General features: G+C 43.8%; 2 protein-coding genes and 1 long non-coding RNA gene across 29 annotated transcripts in view, besides 2 other annotated features; 1 reads left to right on the top strand and 2 right to left on the bottom strand.

The window, feature by feature from the left end:
* On the bottom strand, window positions 758–16241 carry COQ7 (coenzyme Q7, hydroxylase). 17 transcript variants are annotated; one of them, XM_047433496.1, is made up of 8 exons: window positions 16118–16241; window positions 11749–11927; window positions 9820–9934; window positions 7995–8134; window positions 6481–6549; window positions 4956–5774; window positions 2618–2742; window positions 758–1982 (listed from the first exon to the last, which is right to left on the bottom strand). In XM_047433496.1, the coding sequence occupies exons 1-6, from the start codon at window positions 16188–16190 to the stop codon at window positions 5697–5699; spliced, it is 654 nt and encodes a 217-aa protein (XP_047289452.1). In that variant the 5' UTR covers window positions 16191–16241; the 3' UTR covers window positions 758–1982; window positions 2618–2742; window positions 4956–5696. The 17 variants fall into 17 exon arrangements, 14 of the variants coding, with proteins under 14 accessions (XP_047289452.1, XP_047289454.1, XP_047289451.1 ...); XM_047433498.1 differs by lacking the exon at window positions 16118–16241 and adding an exon at window positions 14977–15208; XM_047433495.1 differs by having other exon boundaries at window positions 758–2742.
* Window positions 15878–16027: an enhancer, noted in NCBI's record as "active region_10523". NCBI's record gives its function as "activates an Ori minimal core promoter by ATAC-STARR-seq in GM12878 lymphoblastoid cells {active_cell/tissue: GM12878}" and the evidence as "EXISTENCE:reporter gene assay evidence [ECO:0000049][PMID:35858748]".
* Window positions 16058–16217: a silencer, noted in NCBI's record as "silent region_7240". NCBI's record gives its function as "represses an Ori minimal core promoter by ATAC-STARR-seq in GM12878 lymphoblastoid cells {active_cell/tissue: GM12878}" and the evidence as "EXISTENCE:reporter gene assay evidence [ECO:0000049][PMID:35858748]".
* On the top strand, window positions 16164–21101 carry COQ7-DT (COQ7 divergent transcript). Of its 4 annotated transcripts, NR_119379.1 has the most exons (4): window positions 16164–16274; window positions 17579–17676; window positions 19816–20050; window positions 20960–21101. It is a non-coding gene; the product is annotated as a COQ7 divergent transcript (long non-coding RNA). The 4 variants fall into 4 exon arrangements; NR_119381.1 differs by lacking the exon at window positions 17579–17676; NR_119380.1 differs by lacking the exon at window positions 17579–17676 and having other exon boundaries at window positions 16164–16304.
* TMC7 (transmembrane channel like 7) overlaps window positions 19913–22616 on the bottom strand; it is an 80009-nt gene continuing 77305 nt past the window's right edge. For all 8 annotated transcript variants that reach the window (NR_136733.1, XM_047434662.1, NM_024847.4 and 5 more), the window contains one exon: window positions 19913–22077. Coding sequence is in view for 7 of the 8 variants with exons in the window: in XM_047434662.1 (XP_047290618.1) it covers window positions 22012–22077 (66 nt within the window). In the remaining variant the exon portion in view is untranslated. The remainder of the gene's footprint in view (window positions 22078–22616) is intronic.

The raw sequence follows: 22616 nt of genomic DNA, 5'->3' as shown, positions 1-22616 counted from the left end.
ACATCAGCCATCAATTCTGAAGGGGAGGCTAAACAAACAGCCTGGGTTTTTAATAAGAATTGTACAAAGTGCTTTATGGGACTAAGACTCCTGGCTGCAGTACTTATAAAATTAGCTTTGATATGGGAGGGCAAGAAATAGCACCCGAGTCTCAGAAGATGAAAGTTTCTTCATGCTCTGCTGGCTTGAAGGGTAGTAAATGTACAAAATCGCTTTCTCATTTAACAGCCAGAATTAAAATTTGCATAAAACTACCCTAAAACAAAGAAACAAACAAACAAAAAACTAAACTAAATCACCTGTATTTTTCCTATTGCTTTGCTCTGTGCTACAGTTTCAATGTGGTTTGTCCCAACCAAAACTCATGTTGAAATTTGATCACCAATGTGGCAGTGTTGGGAGGTGTTTGGATGATCGAGGCGGATCCCTCACGAATAGATGAACGTCCTCCTGCTGGAAGAGCGAGTTCTCGCTTTCTTGGGAATGGGTTAATTCCCAAGAGAGTGCATTGTTAAAAGGTGTCTGGCTTCCTCAGTTTGACTCTTTTGCATCCTGTCTCAATCTCTTTGACATGCCCACTACCCTTCCTCTTTCCACCATTGGTGGAAGCAGTGTGAGGCCTTCACCAGACACAGCTGCCCAATCCTGGACCTTCCAGCCACCAGAATTGTGAGATAAATAAATCTCTTTTCTTTATAAATTACCCAGTCTTGGGTATTTTGTTATAGCAACACAAAACAGACTAAGACAATTTACATGCCATACAATTCACAATTTTAACATGTATGATCCAGTAAATTTAAGTATAGGTTGTGCAACTATCACCGATTCTAGAACATTTTTATCACCCAAAAAAACACTCTGTATCCATTAGCAGTTACTCCCTATTTCTCCCCATCCCCGCCCCTCCAGCCCTAGACGACCACTAATCTACCTTCTGTTTCTATGGATTTGCCTATTCTGGACATTTCATGTAGGTGGAATAATACAATACGTGACCTTTTGTGTCTGGCTTCTTTCACTTAGCATGTTTTAAAATTGTGGTAAAATATACATAAAATTTGCCATTTTAACTATTTTTTTTTTTTTAGACAGAGTCTCACTCTGTTGCCCAGGCTGGAATGCAGTGGTGTGATCTCAGCTCACTGAAATCTCTGCCACCTGGGTTCAAGCGATTCTCCTGCCTCAGCTCGTGAGTAGCTGGGACTACGCCCGGCTAATTTTTGTAGTTTTAGTAGAGACGGGGTTTCACCATCTTGGCCAGGCTGGTCTTGAACTCCTGACCTCGTGATGCACCTGCCTCAGCCTCCCAAAGTGCTGGGATTACAGGCGTGAGCCACTGCAACTGGCCTAAACTTTTTTTTTTTTCTTCTCAAAGTCACCCAGGCTAGACTGTTCTGGTGCTCTCATAGCTCACTGCAACCTCAAACTCCTGGACTCAAGCGATCCTTCCACCTTGGCCTCCCAAAGTGCTGAGATGACAGGCATGAGCCACTGTGCCTGGCCCCATTTTAACCATTTTTAAGAATACATTCCATTGACATTAAGTACATTCACATTGTTGTTCAATAATCAACGTCATACATTTCCAGAACTATTTTCATCTTCCCATACTGAAACTCTGGACCCAAGCATAATATTTTTAAGGTTCATCCATGTTGTATCATGTATCACTACTTTATTCCTTTTTATAGCTGAGTAAGATTGCCTTGTTTGGGTATATTGCCATTTTGTTCATCAGTTGATGGACATGAGTTGTTTCCACTTTTAGTTATTATGAGCATTCATGTACAAGGATTGGTTTGAACATGTTTTCTTTTTTTCTTTTTTTTTGGGATGGAGTTTCACTCTTGTTGCCCAGGCTGGAGTAAAATGGCATGATCTCAACTCACGGCAACCTCCGCCTCCTCTAGAATATTGATCCAGATCCAGATTTCTATATTAACCATCCCTTGTTTCTTCTGAGCTTCAGCCAGAGATCACTGGTTGGTTCACAGAATAAGTAGGGTTAGTCTAAAATACAGACAAAAACTTAAAAACAACTAATAAAACTAGAATTTAATGACAAGTGTGATAAGTTTTGAAACTCTCCAGTCTTCATTTTTGTTAAAAACAAATCATAATAGGATTGTTTGCAAAATAAACTTTAGTCTTATACTTGGCCTGATTATTTGCATAAAGTACAGCAAGAATAATTATTTTTCACATATGCTTTTAAAATTGGCTCTGATGGAATTCTGTTCCATAAGGAATATCAGAAAAGACTTTTTAAAGTCAAGCCCAGCAATGGGTTTGTACCCTCCAATACCTATGAGTTGGGTAAATTCCTCTCTTCTTGAGGTCCCAAGATAACTTGGGGCTCCTGGACCTGTTAGAAAGTGACATTCTTTACTCATCACAGGTTAGGAGCCCTGTACAAGGACTGTGTAGACAAGGTATGAGGCCAGTTTCTCCTTTTTTTTGGCTCTGCAAGTCAAGCTTGATTCCTTAAAGGGAAGCACACCCTTCTATCAGAAACTGGTAAAACCACCAGTTTCTCCAATTGTGTCCTGTTGCAAAAGAAAATGGATTCTTGTTGCACTTATGCAAATAACTACATTGCCATAAGAATACTCACAAATAGTTTCTGAATTCTAGAGAAACCAGCAGAGGAACAAATACACTCCAAATTTTGTTCACAGGAGTATACCTTACTCAATTGTTAAAAGCTGTAAATAGCTCAAAATAAAAGTTTTCTTGACTCTGAAAAACAAAACATCAGCAAAGTTTTAAGCAAAAAGTTAAACAGATTACATGTCTTCTATTAGTTCAGCCCATTCAGTTAACTCTTGCTCTGCTTGATATTCATGAATATTTCAGCTCTTCATGAGTCCTGAATGTTTTTCCTTTATTCTAATATCACAATCTAAAGATATTGGAAATATGCATTTAAGAGCACCTAAGTTCTACAGCTGATTATAAACCACCTTTTGAAGAGGATCAAAACAAGACTACGATTGTCTGTGAATCACAAGATGTCTTTAGACAGTCACAGTCAAAAACACAATTGACAAAGAAATTTCGTTATTTCTGTGGTTTACAATAACTTAACATAATAACCCTAATTATAATTGATATCATATACTCAGATATTAGAATTTTAGAAATCTTATACAATTTTGGAACATATATTAATATATATATTAATGTTATTCACTAAAATGTAACCTGAATAAGATTAAACATTATTCTTATTTTGGCAATCCCATGTAATTAAACATGTCAAATAATCCAGGGGCCCTCTATGGCATCCAAAAGTTAGGGGTCAAAAAAGACAATCTTGAAGCTAAAGTTCGATTTGGGGAAGCCTACTGAACATATTAAAGGTTTAAAACACTTGATATTATAAAATAGAATTCCAGGTTATCATTAGCCAAAATGATGACTCAAAAACTTTTTTAAAAAGCACAAAACCTTTACCCATTAAAAGGGAAGACAACTTTCCAAACAATTTGTCTCTTGCCTTTCCCTTCTTTTTTTGGTAGTTTATTTGCAAGGCAAACAAAAATCTTTCATTATCCTTTACTATTACATAAAAATCTTGTTCAAGACAGAGTCAAATGTCATCCTTGCATCAGTCTACTATTAATGTCATCCCCAATTTTTAATAATACCTTATAGATAAATCTATCCAATCTTAACTAGTTTGACCATGAGGTGAGATTCTTGTAAACCTTTTATAACCCTTTACAAATTCTTGTTAAAGAGCAGATCAGTACCTTAAGAAAACCTTGTTGTGCTTTTATTTCAAGGTTCAATTTACAGAAAAACCAAATAATACCCTTTTGAATTTAATCAACGTGTTCACACACAGCATTTATTTTGTAAGATTAATTTTTACAAACCATCCACAACTTGTTCAAACCTTTGGCTTTATCCTATCTAATTTCAAACAAATGCCCAGCCTTAATTTATTACAATTATGATTCGTAGACTTTCACTCAATTACATAAATTCACTCTCGGTTGAGGAAAAGAGAGAGGTGGCAGAGGATTAATCCAAAGGATCCTGGTGTCCACTACCCTTCAAAGCCAGACCCTGGTGGGGCAAGTCCTGCCAAGTCATCAGGTGCTGATTAAATGCAGGGCACTGGGTGGGAAGCAAATTCCTAAAATGTGGTTCTTTCCCAGAAGCATCTTATAATCTAGCTCAGGGGCTTGCAGCTCCAACTCACTCCGGAATCACCTGGGAGCTTCTGAAACCATTCTGATCCTGAACTCCACCCTAAATAAATCAAAACTCTTGGTCCATAAACTGAAAAAAAAAAGTTTAATCTCCACAGGACATTCTAATGGGCAGCCAGAGAGGAGATCCACTGATCTAGGTTTTTCATAAATTACTTAAAAATTTGCAAATTATAAAATATTTCATTAAAGTATGAAAATCTGAATCAGTTTTGGGGGATTTTTTTGGGGGGGAGGTGGTAAAAGACCTTAAGGAAAAGGTTGTAATTCAATTTCACAAATAATCCACAACTTAGTACATCCTTTGATGGAAGCAACACCCCCGTCTTAGTCTGTTCAGGCTGCTATAACAAAATACCACAGTCTGGGTGGCTTATAAACATCAAACATTTATTGCTCACAGTCCTAGAGGCTGGGAAGTCCGTGATCAAAGTGCTGGCTGATTTTGCTTGTGAAGGGTCTGCTTCCTCAGAGAAGTCTCATACTTCCCCTTGAAGTCTCACACTGTGGAGAGGATGAGGTATCTCTCTAGGGCCTTTCATAAGGCACTGATCCCATTCATGAGGGCTCCACTCTCATGACCTCACACTTCCCAAGGGCCCCACCTTCTATCAACTTGAGAGTGAAGATTTCATCGTATGAATTCTAGGGAGACACAGACATACAGACTGTAGCACTCTCCCACCCATTATCACCCACAATTCAAAACAGAAACGATGATCTTTGACTTACTTGATGGACTTCATAGTTCTGCTTGGCCAATCTCAAATACTCTCATGTTTCCAATTATCTTTTGTTATCAGTAAACCAAATTGTTTTTTCTCCTAAAGATTCCTGTTACATTATTAATGATTTGTCCTTGAAGTTTTAGGAGAAAATGGGCCTGGTGAAGTGGCTCACACCTGTAATCCCAGCACTTTGGGAAGTCGAAACGGGAGGATCACTGAGCCCAGGAGTTAGAGACCAGCCTGGCGACATAGTGAGACTTCGCCTCTATAAAAAAATAGAATTAGCCAGCTGTGGTGGTGCACACCTGTAGTCCCAGCTACTTGGAAGGCTGAGGTGGGTGGATTGCTTGAGGCTAGGAGGTCCAGGCTGCAGTGAGTTGTGACCCGGCCTGGACAAAAGAGCGAGGCCCTGTCTCCAAAAAACATAAAATAAAATAAAATATATATATATGCATGTAAAAGAAAAACATGTATATAAAAGAAAATTAAGTATGAGACCAAACAAGGCCCAGCTTCGTTTGCTGTAACTTGAACAAGGCTGGTGACCTGTTGGTCTCATGGCAGAAAAAACAACCCAGAGAAAAATCAACACTGCAGAGTTTAAAAAAAAAAAAACAAACCTTATAATTTATTAACAAAATTCACATTGTACAAAAGTACAACGATAACTGTACACCTGTTTCTCTGCAAATGTCACTTGGTAAATTACTATCATCTTTTATAGACAGGCAAAACTGGACACACTTTATAATCTTTCTGATAAATATATCGCCACTCTGCATCCGGCCTGGATAATGCTCTTCAGGACGGCATAGGCTGGAGCCTGTTAAAAACAATAAGCAAACAAAGAAACATGTTATGTGCTCATTTTCGGTTGTAAGATTCAGGGCTGGCAGGGCAGGCTTTGGATTTCTCTGGATAAGAAATAGATCTAAGGAACAATTTATTTTAGTTTCAAAGAAAGCTATTCAAAAGGTCGGAATGCCTCTGCTACTACTGCCAAAGCATTGGAGTCATCCAGATTCTCACAGGAAAGGAAATGAAGCTCCTGGGAGACCAAGGCAGGCAGCTCACCTGAGGTCAGGAGTTCGAGACCAGCCTGGCCAACACAGTGAAAACTCGGTCTCCACTAAAAATAAAAAATACAAAAATTAGCCAGGCATGGTGGCATGCACCTGTCATCCCAGCTACTTGGGAGGCTGAGGCAGAATTGCTTGAACCTGGAAGGAGGAGGCTGCAGTGAGCTAAGACTGCACCACTGCACTCCAGCATGGGAGACAGAGTGAGACTGTGTCTGGGAAAAAAAAAAAAAAGCTTCTGGGGAAAAGGAGAAGGCATAAAGCAAGAAAGGAGATTCCCAATCTGGAGCAATAATGCGTTTGCTTGCTTTTTGTCAAAGCAACGTCATTGGTTTTCTCTCCCTTTCGCTGTCACTTTAAAATGTATTTTTCTGGCAACAGAAACCTCCTGCCCCTTCAGCCTCCCAAATAAGGAGTCCCAAAGCAGAACAGGTAACAGTAGGGCCCTACCAATTCTGCATCATGGTCGAGGCCTATGTCATGGTGCTCAAGCTCTTCATCCCGAAATTTCTTTATCAGCTGGTTAAATAAAAAGACACCAAAGCAAGTTAGCCTTCCAACTCTCCTGCTGTTCCATTTCATTTTGGAGGCTAAAGCCTCTTATTATGGCCTAAGACAGGGAGGCCAGCTTTTCCTCTAAAGGGCCAGAGAGTAAATACTTTGTTGCAACTACCCAACTCTGCCACTGTAACCAGAAAAGCAGCCGGAGACATGCAAACAAATGGACGTGCTTGTGTTCCAATAAAAGTTTATTTAAAGAAACAGGTGGCTGGCCACAGGCCATAGTTTGCCAACCTCAGATTTAGACTCTAAAAAACTAAACAGTTCCCTTATTTGCTGTGGAAAATTATCTCAGGATATCTATTCATTTATTCAATCTAAAGGGTTCCTGCTCACAGCATCTGCTCAGAATCTACCAATGATAAAGAAGTGGGCCGGGCGCGGTGGCTCACGCCTGCAATCCCAGCACTTTAGGAGGCCAAGGCAGGAGGATCACCTGAGGTCAGGAGTTCCAGACCAGCCTGGCCAACATGGTGAAACCCCGTCTCTACTAAAAATACAAAAATTAGCTGGGCGTGGTGGTGCATGTCTGTAATCCCAGCTACCTGGGACGCCGAGGCAGGAGAATCGCTGGAACCCGGGAGGCGGAGGCTGCAATGCAGGCGGAGACCACTGCACTCCAGCCTTGGGGACAGAGTGAGACTCCATCTCAAAAAAAAAAAAAAAAAAAAAAAAAAAGTGAACAGCACCAGGTGGTGTGGCTCACACCTGTAATCTCAGCACTTTGGGAGGCCGAGGCAGAAGAATCACTTGAGCCCAGGAGCTCAAGACCAATCTGGACAACATAGAGAGAGACTGTGCCTACAAAAAATTTTAAAAATTAAAAATAAAATAAGTGAACAGGACAGGGCTCAAGAGACAAGGGTTCTGGCCGGATGTGGTGGTTCATGCCTATAATTCTAGCACTTTGGGAAGCTGAGGAGAGAGGACTACTGGAGCTCAGAAATTCAAGACCAGCCTGGAAAACATAGTGAGACCCCATCTCTTAAAAAAAAAAAAAAAAAAAAAATTAGCTGTGAGTGGTGGCTATGTATGTAGTCCCATAGCTACTCGGGAGGCTGAGGCAGGAGGATCACTTGAACCCAAGAGTTTGAAGATGCAGTGAGCTATGACTGTGCCACTGTACTCCGGCCTGGGCAACGGAGCAAGACCTCATCTCTAAATAAAAAGAAAAAAGACAAAGGAGACAAGGGTTCTAGTCCCAGCTCTGTCTGTGCTGTATGGCCAGGGCAGACGGGTTCACCTCTCTGTTCCTCAGTTTGCTCACCTTTAAACTGAGGCACTGACCTGAGCCTCTAAACCCCCATCATCCCCTAACAATCTCTAACATGTTTTCCTCTTACCCAATTGCTATCTGCCATTTTCCTCCTTGAGCAGCCCCGTTCTAGAGCACGGATAAATACCTGAAGAAGTTCCTCGTATTTTTCAGGGTCCTCCTCCATCAGCGTCCTGATCTGGTTGTTGTAGTGATGTGCTATGCTCTCTTCCACCGCCACGGTGCAGGCCATGGCACCTTCCTTCCCGAGCAAGGCGGTCCCCGCCCCTGGGATTGTTAAACCCAGACCAGAAAAGTAAGAGACAGATATGACCGGTAATGGAGACCATCTGTGGCCAGGGCTTCTTAACCTCTGCACCAGACATCGGGCCGGGTCATTCTTTGTGACAGGGGCTGTCCCATGCATGGTGGGATATTTAACTGCATCTCTGACCTCTACCAACTAGATGCCAGCAGTGCCAACTAAGTTTTGACAATCAAAACTGTCCCGAGGGCTGGGCACAATGGATCACGCCTATAGTCCCAGCACTTTGGGAGGCCGAGGCGGATCACCTGAGGTCAGGAGTTCGAGACCAACCTGGCTAACATGGTGAAACCGTCTCTACTAAAAATACAAAAATTAGTCAGTGTGGTGGTGGGCGCCTGTAATCCCAGCTACTTGGGAGGCTGAGGCAGGAAAATCGCTTGAAGCCGGGAGGTGGAGGTTGCAGTGAGCCAAGATCACGCCACTGCACTCCAGCGTGGGTGACAGAACAAGACTCCATCTCAAAAAAAAAAAAAAAAAAAAATGTCCCTAGGTATTGCCACATGTCCTCATCAGGGGGACAAACTCACCCTGAGGGAGAACCACTGTTTTAGGAGACACTGGATCCCAGTGTTAAACCTGGAATTACACAGTTAAGAAAAACCATTCTCTTTTCAATGCTGTTTTATCCTGACCGTGGCCAAGAGAAGTCAGCATTTGGGGTGAGTATATCTTTGATCTTTTATACCATTTATTCTTCTCCGTTTTTTAAAAGAGTGAACAGATCTCAGGTTGAGAATCGTTGTCAGGGAACAGTATTTGGCTGCAACTGAATTCTACTAGCTTTTTTTCTCTGTTGTTTATTTTTACTGTATTTTCTATTTATAATACTGACATTAGGCCAGGTGCAGTGCCTCACGCCTGTAATCCTAGCACTTCGGGGAGGCCAGAGAGGGAAGATGGCTTGAGGCCAGCAGTTTGAGACCAGCCTAGGTAACATAACGAGACCCCATCTCTACAAAAAAAATAGAGCTGTGCGTGGTGGCATGCGCCAGTAGTCCAAGATACTCAGGCTCAGAGGCTTAGGTGGGAGGATCACTTGAACCCAAGAGTTTGAGGTTTCAGTGAGCTACGACTATACCACTGTACTCCAGCCTGGGCAACAGAGTGAGACCCTGGCTCTGGTTTGTTTTTTTTTGTTTTGTTTTGGTTTTTTTTTGAGACAGAGTGTCGCTCTGTCACCCACGCTGGAGTGCAGTGGGCCAATCTTGGCTCACTGCAACCTCCAGCTCCCAGGTTCAAGCGATTCTCTGGCCTCAGCCTCCCAAGTAGCTGGGATTACAGGCACGCACCACCATGCCCGGCTAATTTTTGTATTTTTAATAGAGTCGGGGGTTTCACCATGTTGTTCAGGCTGGTCTCGAACTCCTGACCTCATGATCTGCCCGCCTCGGCCTCCCAAAGTGCTGGGATTACAGGTGTGAGCCATCACGCCCGGCCTTTTTTTTTAAAGTACTGACATTAAGATTCTATCTTAAATAAATTTAACCACACACAAAAAAAGGCAGTCAATTTAACCTCGGAAAAATATGAAGTAAACAGAATGAGGTCATAAGAGGACACAGCAAGAATTGTGAACATGATACCTGAAGGATTTAATCATCCTAGATCCCCAAGCTTGCATAAGCTCTTCTAGAGAGACACGTACCCAGTGCAAACCCCAGCACGTTCCACAAGGGCATCAGAACTGTTGGCCGGACCCTGAACGTAACCATCAACTCATTGAACTTTTTCAAATGGTCCTTTTCTTGATCCCACATTTTCTGCAAGAAACATAAAAATAAAGACATGCAAGCATTCCATAGAGGCCTCCCACTCATCCAAGCGGCATACAGGGAGCAAAGCAGAAACGGAGAAAATGATGGAACTGCTGTCTCCCCCATTCCCCTCAAAACGTCAATGGAAACAGTAAAACATCAGACTAAAGGAATCTGTGACAAAGAGAAGAGAGCACCAAGAATACAAAACAGTCTATTATCTCAATTCCAGTTAAGACTGCCATGAGCCATGGTTGCAGCAGAAGTCTCTCAGGCCCACAATGTGCCCAGTAAATGACAAGGGTCTACACACATAAGAAATGACATGTTTAACCCATTTCAAAATCAGGAAGGCAGAACATTGGCTGTTGTGTAATTTCCTTCCAGATTACTAGAATAGCATCATCTTGTTGTTGTTGTGGTTTGTTTGTTTCCAGACAGGGTCTCACTCTGTCACCCAGACTGTAGTGCAGTAGCAAGCTCATGGCTCACCGCAGCCTCAACCTCCAGGATCAAGCGATCCTCCCACCTCGGCCTCTCAAATTAGCTGGGATTACAGTCACATGCCACTACACCTGGCTAATTTTGTGGTGTGTGTGCGGTTTTTTTTGTTTTTTTGAGACGGAGTCTCACTCTGTTGCCCAGGCTGGAGTGCAGTGGTGCGATCTCAGCTCCCTGCAACCTCTGCCTCCCAGGTTCAAGTGATTCTCTTGCCTCAGCCTCCCAAGCAGCTGGGACTACAGGCATGCACCACCATGCCTGGCTGATTTGTTTTGTATTTTTAGTAGAGACAGGGTTTTGCCTTGTTGGCCAGGCTGATCTCAAACTCCTAACCTCAGGTGATCCACCCGCCACAGCTTCCCAAAGTGCTGGGATTACAGGTGTGAGCCATTGCACCCAGCTAATTTTTGTATTTTTCGTAGAGACGGAGTCTCATCACATTGCCCAAGCTGGTCTCAAACTCCTGGGCTCAAGCGATCCATTGGCCTCGGCCTCCCAAAGTGCTGGGATTACAGGCGTGAGCCACCACACCCGGCCCTGAATATTATTTACATCAGAGGAAAAAGGGAGAATGCTAGCTGCAGCTAACACTTAGATGGCACGTCCTAAGTGCCAGGGGCCATCAAATAGCTTCATGCAAGCAATTCATTCAATCCACACAATCCCTGTGAAGGACACACTATGACTGCGCCAGTATACACAACAAACTGAAGCACAGAGAGGCTAAGTAGCTTGCCCAAGGGTTCAGGGCAGGCCATTTAACTTGTACTAACTTGACCTTTATGGGCCAGACCCGGTTCCTTACCCAAACCCAGGCCATTATGAGGCCATTTTGCAGATACGGAAATGGAAACCCAGAGAAGTCCTGTGCCATCCTCAAGGTCGCACAGGTAGGAGGTGGGAGAGAGCCAAAATGTGAACCAGGTCTGTGTAACTACAAATTTCAGGTCCTCCCATAGCCTCTTGGGATACAATACCTCTCTGGCACGGTAGGGGGCAGGGCTGCAACATTTCAGCACAGTTGACTGCTGTGCTGAGCGATTCTTAACCTTTTTTCATTACTGCCTGCCCCCGCCATGGAGTACTGATACCAAAGATATACCGCATACCTGTCTATGTACTAGATGTCTCTCTGTGCTTTATCCATAAAAAGAACAATATGCTTTTTGCTCCCCATCTCCACCAAGAACCAACCTTCGCTCTCCTGGAGACAATGGCATCTCCCTAGGGAACGCTTGACCTCCCATGATTCATTACTTGAAGTCCTTTGGATCTGCCCATTCAGTAGACCAGGGTGAGGGAGATGAAGAAGCACCCACCTGAATGACTGGCCCGACGCTGGTCCGACCCAGGACAGCCATCTGCCCGGCATAGATGCGGTTTGCTCCATATTCGCCTGCATGATCCACCCGGATTATTCGATCCACAGCTGCCCGACTGATATTGTCTAAAGTCATTCCTGAACTGCGAAATCTGACACTGGTTCTTCTTCCATAAGCTGAAATGCAAGTGTTTATTCTTCGTTATGATCAGGTAAAATCCAGATGTTCCTTTTACAGACAGCAGAAAGGGCACTTTGGGATGGAGGTCACAAATCAGTTCCCCATGGGCCAGGCGTGCCCATAAACGGACTCTGTTTAACCTACAGTGTTAAAACAGAGGATTTTACCTAAAGATCTGGATTTCTGGTTTCACTTTAAGTGTATGAAGATCTGGAAATGCTGAGCCTACCTTCTTACCAGGCAGTTAACATGGCAACCGCTTCTAGATGAGCATGGTTCTCCAGTTCACCAACCCTCTGGCCCACTTCGCCCCAGCCCAGGCTGTACAGGAGAGGCCCATACAGAGCTTTCAAAAACACCGTGCTCTTCCCCAGTCAATCTCTGGGAGGGGGCTCTCTGAACTGATATTGTTTAGAAGCTCTGTGCATAAGTCTTCTCTTCAGCCAAGGCTGAGAACCACAGACTAAGTTCTCTTAAAATCCACACCTGTCCGGGCGCGGTGGCTCATGCCTGTAATCCTAACACTTTGGGAAGCCAAGGAGAATGGATCACCTGAGGTCAGGAGTTTGAGACCAGCCTCGCCAACATGGTGAAACCCCATCTCTACCAAAAATACAAAATTTAGCTGGGTGTGTTGGCGTGTGCCTTTAATCCCACCTCCTCGGGAGGCTGAGGCAGGAGAATAGCTTGAAACCGGGAGGCAGAGATTGCCGTGAGCCAAGATCGTGCCACTGCACTCCAGCCTGGGCAACAGAGTGAGACTCTGTCTAAAAACAAAAACAAACAAACAAACAAAAACAGAAAAAAAAATTAAAAACCCCACACCGTTGGGCATTCGATTTTGAGACTAGCCTTGGAGCCTAGATTTCACTTCATTATGCTCCAAAATCAATTCAAATGAACTCTCATCTTCAAAATGTAAATTCTTCATGACAGATTATATTTTATCTTTAAAAATAAATCTCCTAACCTTAACACCTTAATTATATTCTCTGAGCCTTATATTAGAGTAACTCAAAAGGTTTTTTTCCCTGCCAGAGAGGAGTTTTGCAGCATTCTTAGGTGTGTAAGGTGTATTCACCTCATTTTGCAGATACGGAAAATAGTGACCTAAGGGTCATTTAGTTTGTAATGGTAGCTTCGATCTGCACTGGTATCACTTTTTTTTTTTTTTGAGACAGACTCTGACTGTATCGCCCAGGCTGGAGACAGAGGTGCGATCTTGGCTCACCGCAAACTCCACCTTTCAGACTCAGGCAATTCTCCTTTTTCAGCCTCTAGAGCAGCTAGGACTCCAGAGTAGCTAGGACTACAGGCAGGTGCCACCATGCCCAGCTACATTTTTATATTTTTAGTAGAGACGGGGTTTCACCATGTTGCCCAGGCTGGTCTCGAACTCCTGAGCTCAAGCAATCCTCCCACCTTGGCTTCCCAAAGTGCTGGGATTACAGGCGTGAGCCACCATGCCCAGCCAGCATTGGTATCACTTTGTAATGTTTTAGGGCTCTTAGCCGTGACTACCATGTCTTTTATGCAAACTTCTTTTCACTTAGGCTAACTTCAACAGCCAGCGAATATGTGGAAAAAATTCATTTTAGATACATATGTGGTTCTTTCATGACAAAGGCTTGAGTGCTTTGGACACAAGGTAGTGAGGTGGGTTGGTGAAATTTGGGGTGGCTCTGAACTTGAAATCTTCTACCAGATGGGGTTGTAAATGTCACACTTTTAACAAAGAAGCGTGGACCTAAGTTCTGAAGCATAGTGACCCAGCTTTGGTCTACTCCTCGCCATGATCCTCTCCATCTCACTGAGCATATCTGACTAAAGAGACTGCATAGGCCGGGTGTGGTGGCTCATGCCTGTAATCCCAGCACTTTGGGAAGCTGAGGCAGGTGGACTGCTTGAGACCAGGAGTTCAAGACCAGCCTGGCCAAAATGGTGAAAACCCATCTCTACCAAAAATATAAAAATTAGCCAGGCATCGTGGCACGTGCCTGTAGTCCCAGCTACTCAGGAGGCTGAGGCAGAACAATCACTTGAACCCAGTAGGCAAAGGCTGCAGTGAGCTAAGATCATACCATTACACTCCAGCCTCGGTGACAGAGTGAGACTCTGTCTCAAAAAAAGAAAAAAAGAAGCATAAAACATGTGTCCCATCTCTAACACTAGCCTTGGGAAAATCAGGATCGACATTTCTTACATATAAAATTGGCTGGGTGCGGCGACTCACGCCTGTAATCCCAGCACTTTGGGAAGCCAAGGAGGGAGAATCACTTGAGGTCAGGAGTTCGAGACCAGCCTGGTCATCATGGCGAAACCCCGTCTCTACCAAAAATTCAAAAATTAGCCAGGCGTGGTGGTGCATGCATGCAGCCTCAGCTACTCGGGAGTCTGAGGCAGGAGAATCACTTGAACCCAGGAGGCGGAGGTTGCAGTGAGCTGAGATCGCGCCACTGCACTCCAGCCTGGGCGACAAAGCAAGACTCTGCCTCAAAAAAAAAAAAAAAAAAAGGCAATAATCAGGCTCTTTCCTTTTTAAGGGAAAACATACAATAATAAACTTTTCTTACTGAGTTATGAGGATAAAATAAGATATAAGAAGCAAAGTAACTTTATAAACAGAAATGAGTCTTATTCTGTTATGCTCACTGGCTGAACAGAGCAGCATTAAAATTCACATTCAACAACCCTCGGAGTTTTGCCTGCATTACCATATACTTTAAAGTAAAATTGAGGCTCGGTGCTAGCTCTCAAATGCATCACTTTATGTCCATATTTTCCCAAAGTGTGAAACATGCCAGTGTGGTACCTACAAAATATTAAGTGGCTTATGGATATGCAGCAAATAACCCCATGTAGTAAGGGGTACTCTTTCAAAATCTCTTGCAATCTCTTTCATTAAGGAAGATAACTCCATTTACAGCTGGTATAGCCTTAACACTTTCCCAACACTTGCTAATTTCCCCTTTGTAACAGAAAGACAGTATTTAATACAATTTCATAACTTTTTAATTTGTTTGTTTTTTTTTAATGATTACTCACCCATTTGTGGCAAGTGGCACTGGCTTCCCATTCACCATAAGGATTTTGTTTCAAGGAAATTAATTTAATTTTTAAATGGGACATAGCTATACAAAAAAACACATCTAGTAATCAAAAGTTCAAGCAGTACTGCCATTAGGCAAAAATCCCGAAAGTGGTACACGGTAATTTAACGTTGAGAAAACGACTTCATGAAATTTCTTTTTTTTTTTTTTTTTTGCGCGGGGGAGACAAAGTCTCGCTCTGACGCCCAGGTTGCAGTGCAGTGGTGCAATCTCGCCTCAAAGCAATCTCTGCCTCCCGGGTTCAAGCGATTCTCCTGTCTCAGCCTCCTGAGTAGCTGGGATTACAGGCACCTGCCATCACGCCTGGCAAATTTTTGTATTTTTAGTAGAGGCGGGGTTTCACCATGTTGGCCAGGCTGGTCTCAAACTCCTGACCTCAGGGGATCCTCCAGCCTCGGCCTCCCAAAGTGCTGAGATTATAGGCCGGAGCCACCGCGCCCGGGCTCATGACAATTTTCTAAGGCAGCACAGATGAAACAAGGAAAGCAGGAACCAGGGTCCAAAACCATGTCTCTCTACTCTAAATTCGATGCTCCTTCCACTACACTGATGGCTTTCACAGTTTACAGTGCATGCAAATCACCTAAAGGTCCTGTTCACAGATCACAGATACCGACCAAGTAGGTCGGGGTGGGGCCCGAGAATCTGTATTTCTAGCGAGCGCCCAGAAGTAGCGGAGGCTGCTGGTCGTCGGGCTACCCTTTGCCTGGCAAGGCCCTGGGCAAAGACTACAAAGAGAGAGACTCCCGGAGACGCTGAATTTTCAGTGTCGCCAACTGTCCTCGACTCGGAACGCTGGCCGCACCTGCCGTGACATCACTGCACAGGGGTGCAATTGCGTCACTCCCCAGGCGTCACTGCCGAAACAACCCCTGTCCTCCTGTCACTCTCGCCGCTAACTACAGACCCCGCCCCGCCCGCCAGCGCCCCGGAGGCCGAAGTCACGCAGTCGCGCTCCGTCGCAGGCCTGTGACGTTACGAACCTCTCCCCCGTGACCTCTTCGACCCAAACCTCAAGCGAAAATTCCCTAGCTCGCTAGACCGGCGCAGGACTGTGACTGCGCGCCTCCTTTTACCTGAGAGGGACCGCCGGGCCCCCGGGCGCAGCCGCCAAAGGCGGGGAGCCGCCGCCGCCCCGGCGCAACTCATTGCCGGAACTAAAAAAAGCAACCACTTCGTTGAACGGAACTGGCCAATAGTGCCCTTGGCTCGGACTGATGACGCACAGCAGACGTAAGGAAGGCTCAGCTCGCCCGCGCACCGGTGGGAACGCCCCCTAGCTCTGCGCTAGGGGTTAGATTGGTTAGATACGACAAATAAAAAGATTTTATTGGGTGGGGTCACTGTCAATCACTCGGAAGACCAAGGCCAAGGCGCCTTGGGTTGCCAGGGAGATGAAAATGCTAAATTGCTGTTTAGAAAGATCAGGACAAGGTTATGATTTCTCACCCAAGTTCCTGGGGAAAAGGATCATGAGGGAATTACTTATTAACAAGGCACGGTATTTCCTGCTTTACCTACGTGGAAGGAGATTTTTTTTTTTATTTGTATCCTACATCTACTTTAAAATAGTAAGCCTGGGCAACATAGCGAGACCCCGCCTCTACAAATAATTTTAAAAATTAGCCGGGTCTGGTGGAGCACACCTGTAGTCCCAGCTACTCGGGAGGCTGAGGTGGGGGGATAGCTTGAGCCCGGTAGCTCGAGGCTGCAGTCAGCCGTGATTCTGCCACTGCACTCTAGCCTGGGCCCTGTCTGAAAAATAAATAAATAAATAAAATTATATGTATATCTAAATTACATGCACCACATGGTTAATGGTGTTATATAGTGTTATCTCTATTGGTGGGCTGAAAGCCAACTTTAAACTTCTTCCCGGTCTTTTCTCTATTTTCAGAAACAGAGAACATGTTTTATCCTTGGTATCCACCTTAATGTACTGTGTGCATGTATGCATGTATATTTGTGCAAATTGGAATTTTTTGAGAAGGGAGGGGAAATTTAGCAACATACTTTAAAAAGATCATATAATACAGCAGTCTTACTTTTAGGAATCTACTCAACGAAATAATTTTTAAATGAGTAATGTACATGAGGGCAAAAATCAAAGATGCGTGTCTGCAAGGATATACAACGTTTAATATTGGCAACATCAGGGGGCTGGAACTGGGAGAAGGGAGCTTTCACTTTCTACTTTACACCCTTGGATTATTTATATACTTTATCCAAGTTTACCATAAAATATTTTAAGATGGAATACAATTGTAAAATTATTGAATTCAAGTTTTTAGTTTTTATATCACTCTAGTGTTCAAATTGACACACCAAAATAATTTAAAATTATGATGAACCCAAATACTACTTAGTGAGGATGTTGTAGCACTCTCATGTAAAACTACTGAGTGTCTGAATCTGGCGCTCAAAAGCCTTAAAATGTTCAAAACCTTTGCTGTAATACCACTTCTAGGTCTCTGTTTCCTTTTTGTTTTGTTTTTTGTTTTTGTTCTTTTTAAATGGAGTTTCACTCTGTCGCACAGGCTGGATTGCAGTGGGGAGACCTTGGCTCACTGGAACCTCTGCCTCCCGGGTTCAAGCGATTCTCCTGCCTCAGCCTCCCAAGTAGATGGGATTACAGGTACACACACCACCACGCCCAGCTGAGACTGGGTTTCGCTGTGTTGGCCAGGCTGGTCTCAAATTCCTGACCTCAAGTGATCCTCCCACCTTGTCCTCCCAAAGTGCTGGGATTATAGGCGTGAGCCGCCACGCCTGGCCTAGGTCTCTGTTTCTAAGGAGAAAAAATGTTGACAAAGATTTATAGATGTGCCCATTATTTATTACTGGGAAAATTTGGAAACAAAATGTTAAGCAACAATTGAATATCAAAACATCATGTCCGAGTGCAGTGGCTCACGCCTGTAATCCCAACACTTTGGGAGACTGAGGCGAGAGGATCACTTGAGCCCAGGAGTTCAAGACCAGCCTGGGCAACACAGTGAGATTCCATCTCTACAAAAAATTTTAAAAATTAGTCAGGCATGGTGGTGTGTGCCTCTGATCCCACCTACTTGTGAGGCTAAAAGGATCACTTGAGCCCAGGAGGTTGAGGCTGCACTGAGCCATGATCACACCACTGCACTCCAGAGTGGGTGATAGACCTAGACTCTGGCTCAAAAAAAAAAAAAAAAATCCAACTGTATGATGTTATGTAGCCCATTGAAATGTTTGTAAAGAGCTTTTAATAACAGGAGAAAACACTAGATTCTTCAGGAAAACACATATTAAGTGAAAAAGAAATTAGAATACCAAAGTTCTTTCCTTCTTTTTCCTTCTTTTTCCCTCCCTCTGTACTTTCTATCTTAAAAAGAATTTTGCCAGGATTAACAGTGCGTGCCCATAAGTGCTGCTTTTTAAGTTTTTTTCTCTGTTGCTTTTGATGTTCTCTGTATTTGCTATAAAAAACAAGTATTTTTATAATGGCAAAACAAAATTTAAAAAACAAAAATGCATACTATTCCCTAATTCCATCCCCCTACCCACCAAATTATCCATTAAAAAAACTAGTTCCAGCCAGGCACGGAGGCTCACCCCTGTAATCCCAGACTTTGGGAGGCCGAAGTGGAAGGATCACTTGAGGTCAGCAGTTCAAGACCAGCCTGACCAACAGGGCAAAACCCCATCTCTACTAAAAGTACAAAAATTAGCTGGGCATGGTGGCACACACCTGTAGTCCCAGCTACTTGGGAGGCTGAGGCAGGAGAATCACTTGAACCCAGGTTGCAGTGAGCCGAGATCGCACTACTGCACTCCAGCCTGGGCAATAGAGTGAGACTACATCTCAAAAAAAAAAAAAAAAAAAAACACAGCCAGGCACAGTGGCTCACGCCTGTAATCCCAGCACTTTGGGAGGCCGAGGCGGGCAGATCATGAGGTCAGGAGATCAAGACCATCCTGATGAAACCCTGTCTCTATTAAAAATACAAAAAATTAGCCGGGTGTGGTGGTGGGCGCCTGTAGTCCCAGCTACTCGGGAGGCTGAGGCAGGAGAATGGTGAACCCGGGAGGCAGAGCTTGCAGTGAGCCGAGATCGCACTACTGCACTCCAGCCTGGGCAATAGAGACTACATATTAAAAAAAAAAAAAAAAAAAAAACACGGCCGGGCACGGTGGCTCACGCCTGTAATCCCAGCACTTTGGGAGGCCGAGGCAGGCAGACCACCTGAGGTCGGGAGTTTGAGACCAGCCTGACCAACATGGAGAAACCCCGTCTCTACTAAAAATACAAAATTAGCTGGGTGTAGTGGCGCATACCTGTAATCCCAGCTACTCGGGAGCCCGAGGCAGGAAAATCGCTTGAACCTGGGAGGTGTAGGTTGCAGTGAGCCAGTATCACCCCACTGCACTCCAGCCTAGGCAACAAGAGCAAGACTTCGTCTCAAACACACACACACACACACACACACAGAGAGAGAGAGAGAAAATACATACACAGGAAAACCCAGTTTCCAAAATTTCAGGGAGACTGATTTGAGTAATAATAATATTCTGGTCTCCTGTTTAGCCAGCTCTGCATGTATCAAACGCTTTCTCTGTTGCAATTCCTCTGCTGCAATTCCTCTGTCTTGATGAATGGGCTGTATCCAGGCAGCGGGCAAAATGAACCAGTTGGGCAGTTACACACATACACCCTCCTTGGCTTCAACAGAGCCAAGGAGCTTTAAAAGCACTCATCTGAGGACTACATTAAACACTTCTTTCTTTTCTCTCATTTTAGGAAAAAGCAAAGAGGAACTTTACAAACTATTACAGTTTTCCATCATCACTTGACTGCTGACAAGAAGCCTCTTTGAATTCCAGTATACACGATCACATTTTAAAACCTTCAAGACGCCGTTTAATCAGGAGTTGTAAGGCACATTTGTTAGAGAGAGCTGCACTTTAAAAGTTATACAGACATCACCTGAAGTTATTAAAGTTATCAAAACATATTAAAAACCTTCAAGTAAGAGGTATGCATATTAGCAGCATTTAACTAAAATTAATATATTAATTAGCATATTTCAGTATCACTTTTATAATAGGAAAAAAAACGCAGTACGTTTTCGTTGTGTTCATCACACACACACACACACACACACACAAATAGAAAACTTGAATATCATCAAGTCTGGTCACAGTGAAAATGTTATATAAATATAAAGGCACTGGGCAGAAATGTTTACAATTACAACTTTTTTTTTCTTTTCACCTATCTTTTTTTTTGAGATAGGGTCTCCCTCTGTCACCTAGGCTGGAGTACAGTGGCACGGTCTCGCACACTGCAGCCTTCACCTCCCAGGTTCAAGTGATTCTCATGCCTCAGCCTCCCAAGTAGCTGGGATTACAGGCACACGCCACCATGCCTGGCTAATTTTTGTACTTTTAGTAGAGACGGGGTCTTGCCACATTGACCAGGCTGGTCTCAAACTTCTGACTTCAGGTGATCTGCCCTCCTTGGACTCCCAAAGTTCTGGGATTGCAGGCATGAGCCACTGTGCCCAGCAGAATTTATTTTTTTAAGTGAGACTGGAATGAATCTTTGGTTACTCAAAATTCCATGACACCAGTTATTAGATTTAGACGAGATCAGGCATTTTCAGGGTGGTATGACTGTAGTTATTAGATTTAGAAACCCATAAACCTTACCAAGTCAGGAAAAGACCGAAAAGCTCATTGGTATCCCAGTTACAAAAATATTCCACTTTAAATAATATCTTTGTGGAAAAGCAAGAAAATGGCTGTAAGAAAGGGACGAGAAGATACCTTTGCTCCTCTGAGCAAGGATTCAGGCATTTTTGAGTAGTGGAGTGGAGATGGCCGGGAGAATTATTGTTAACAGCAACAGCTTTCTAAAACCTGCACCCAACTTTAAATTCCAGGCTACTCCCCAGGAAACGTGTGGAGCCAGTGAACGGAAGAAAAACAATGGAAGGAAGGCTTGAAAAGTCCATTACAAAACTACAGTCCTTTGAAAAAGATTTCAAAGATATTAAAATGAAAACTGATTACATTAAACAATAACTTAAACTTCTGTTCTTCTGTTAAAAGGTTGACATCTATCAATTTTGGGTAAGCTTACAATGAGGTATTTATTGCATATGGTTTTTACCATAACGGAAATCTTAAGAGATATTCTACATTTTTTTTTTAGGGAGAGTTTTGCTCTTTTTGCCCAGGCTGGAGTGCAATGGTGTGATCTCAGCTCACTGCAAACTCCACCTCCTGGGTTCAAGCAATTCTCCTGCCTCAGCCTCCTGAGTAGCTGATATTACAGGCATGTGCCACCACACCCAGCTAATTTTGTATTTTAGTGGAGACGGAGTTTCTCCACGTTGGTCAGGCTGGTCTTGAACTCCCCAACTTAGGTGCTCCGCCTGCCTCGGCCTCCCAAAGTGTTGGGATAACAGGCGTGAGCCGCTGCGCCCAGCCACATGTTTTGTGAAATAAAGGCACATGCATTAAAAATTGTAAGCACAGGAAAACAACCCTAAAAAATGTGGACGTGTGTGTTTAAGAAACCAGCCTCCAATTCTGTTTGTTATACACTCATGGGCTGGTCTGATTAACAGGCTGAGCTTCAGTCCACAACCCAAAACACTTGTGCACATAAACTCGTGGCTCAAATACTAAACTACCGTCTCCGCTCTTTCATTCTTGTAAAAGCTTGAATGGCTTGTTGGTTTTTGGTAGAGTTGTCACAGAGTGGCCGGTCTGCAGGCAAAGCCTTGGGTTTCCCCTGCTTTTCTAAGTCACTGAAGCCCTAATTAAGGGCTGGGTTAGGTAAACACAGCTGCACATATGGAAAAGCCTAAACTCAAGAAAAATATATTTTTAAATGTCCACTCAAAACCCAGGTAGACTCTGTAGGCTCAGCAGAATCACTAGGTCAGCTTAGAAGCAACAGGCAGCACCATCTTCACGCTCAGTCTAGTTAGTTCCTCATGTCCCTTTGGGCTTCTGTTAGTTTCTGGATTAGGTAGCACTTGTCACGACTTTCCTAAAAAATAATAAGTTCACATGTACATTTAATATATTTGGAAACAAATACCATCATTACCTACCAGACTGAGGGCTGAGGATTCTAACCACTGGACTATTGTAATGGCCTCTCATCTGGTCTGTCATTGTGTCTGCTCCACAGCCCCTTGTCCACAAAGCAGCCGATCCTTTTTTTAAAAAATGCACAGTACAGCTGGACACGGTGGCTCATGCCTGTAATCCCAGCACTTTGGGAGGCCGAGGCAGGTGGATCACCTGAGGTCAGAAGTTTGAGACCAGCCTGACCAATATAGTAAAACCCCATCTCTACTAAAAATACAAAAATTAGGCCGGGTGAGGTGGCTCACACCTGTAATCCCAGCACTTTGGGAGGCCAAGGCAGGTGGATCACCTGAGGTCAGAAGTTTCAGACCAGCCTGACCAACGTGGTGAAACCCCACCTCTACTAAAAATACAAAAATTAGGCCAGGCGAGGTGGCTCACGCCTGTAATCTCAGCACTTTGGGAGGCCGAGGCAGGTGGACCACCTGAGGTCAG

This window comes from Homo sapiens, chromosome 16 (assembly GCF_000001405.40).
Source record: "Homo sapiens chromosome 16, GRCh38.p14 Primary Assembly".
Lineage (NCBI taxonomy): Eukaryota > Metazoa > Chordata > Mammalia > Primates > Hominidae > Homo > Homo sapiens.
This window is presented reverse-complemented; position numbering and strand designations above follow the sequence as displayed.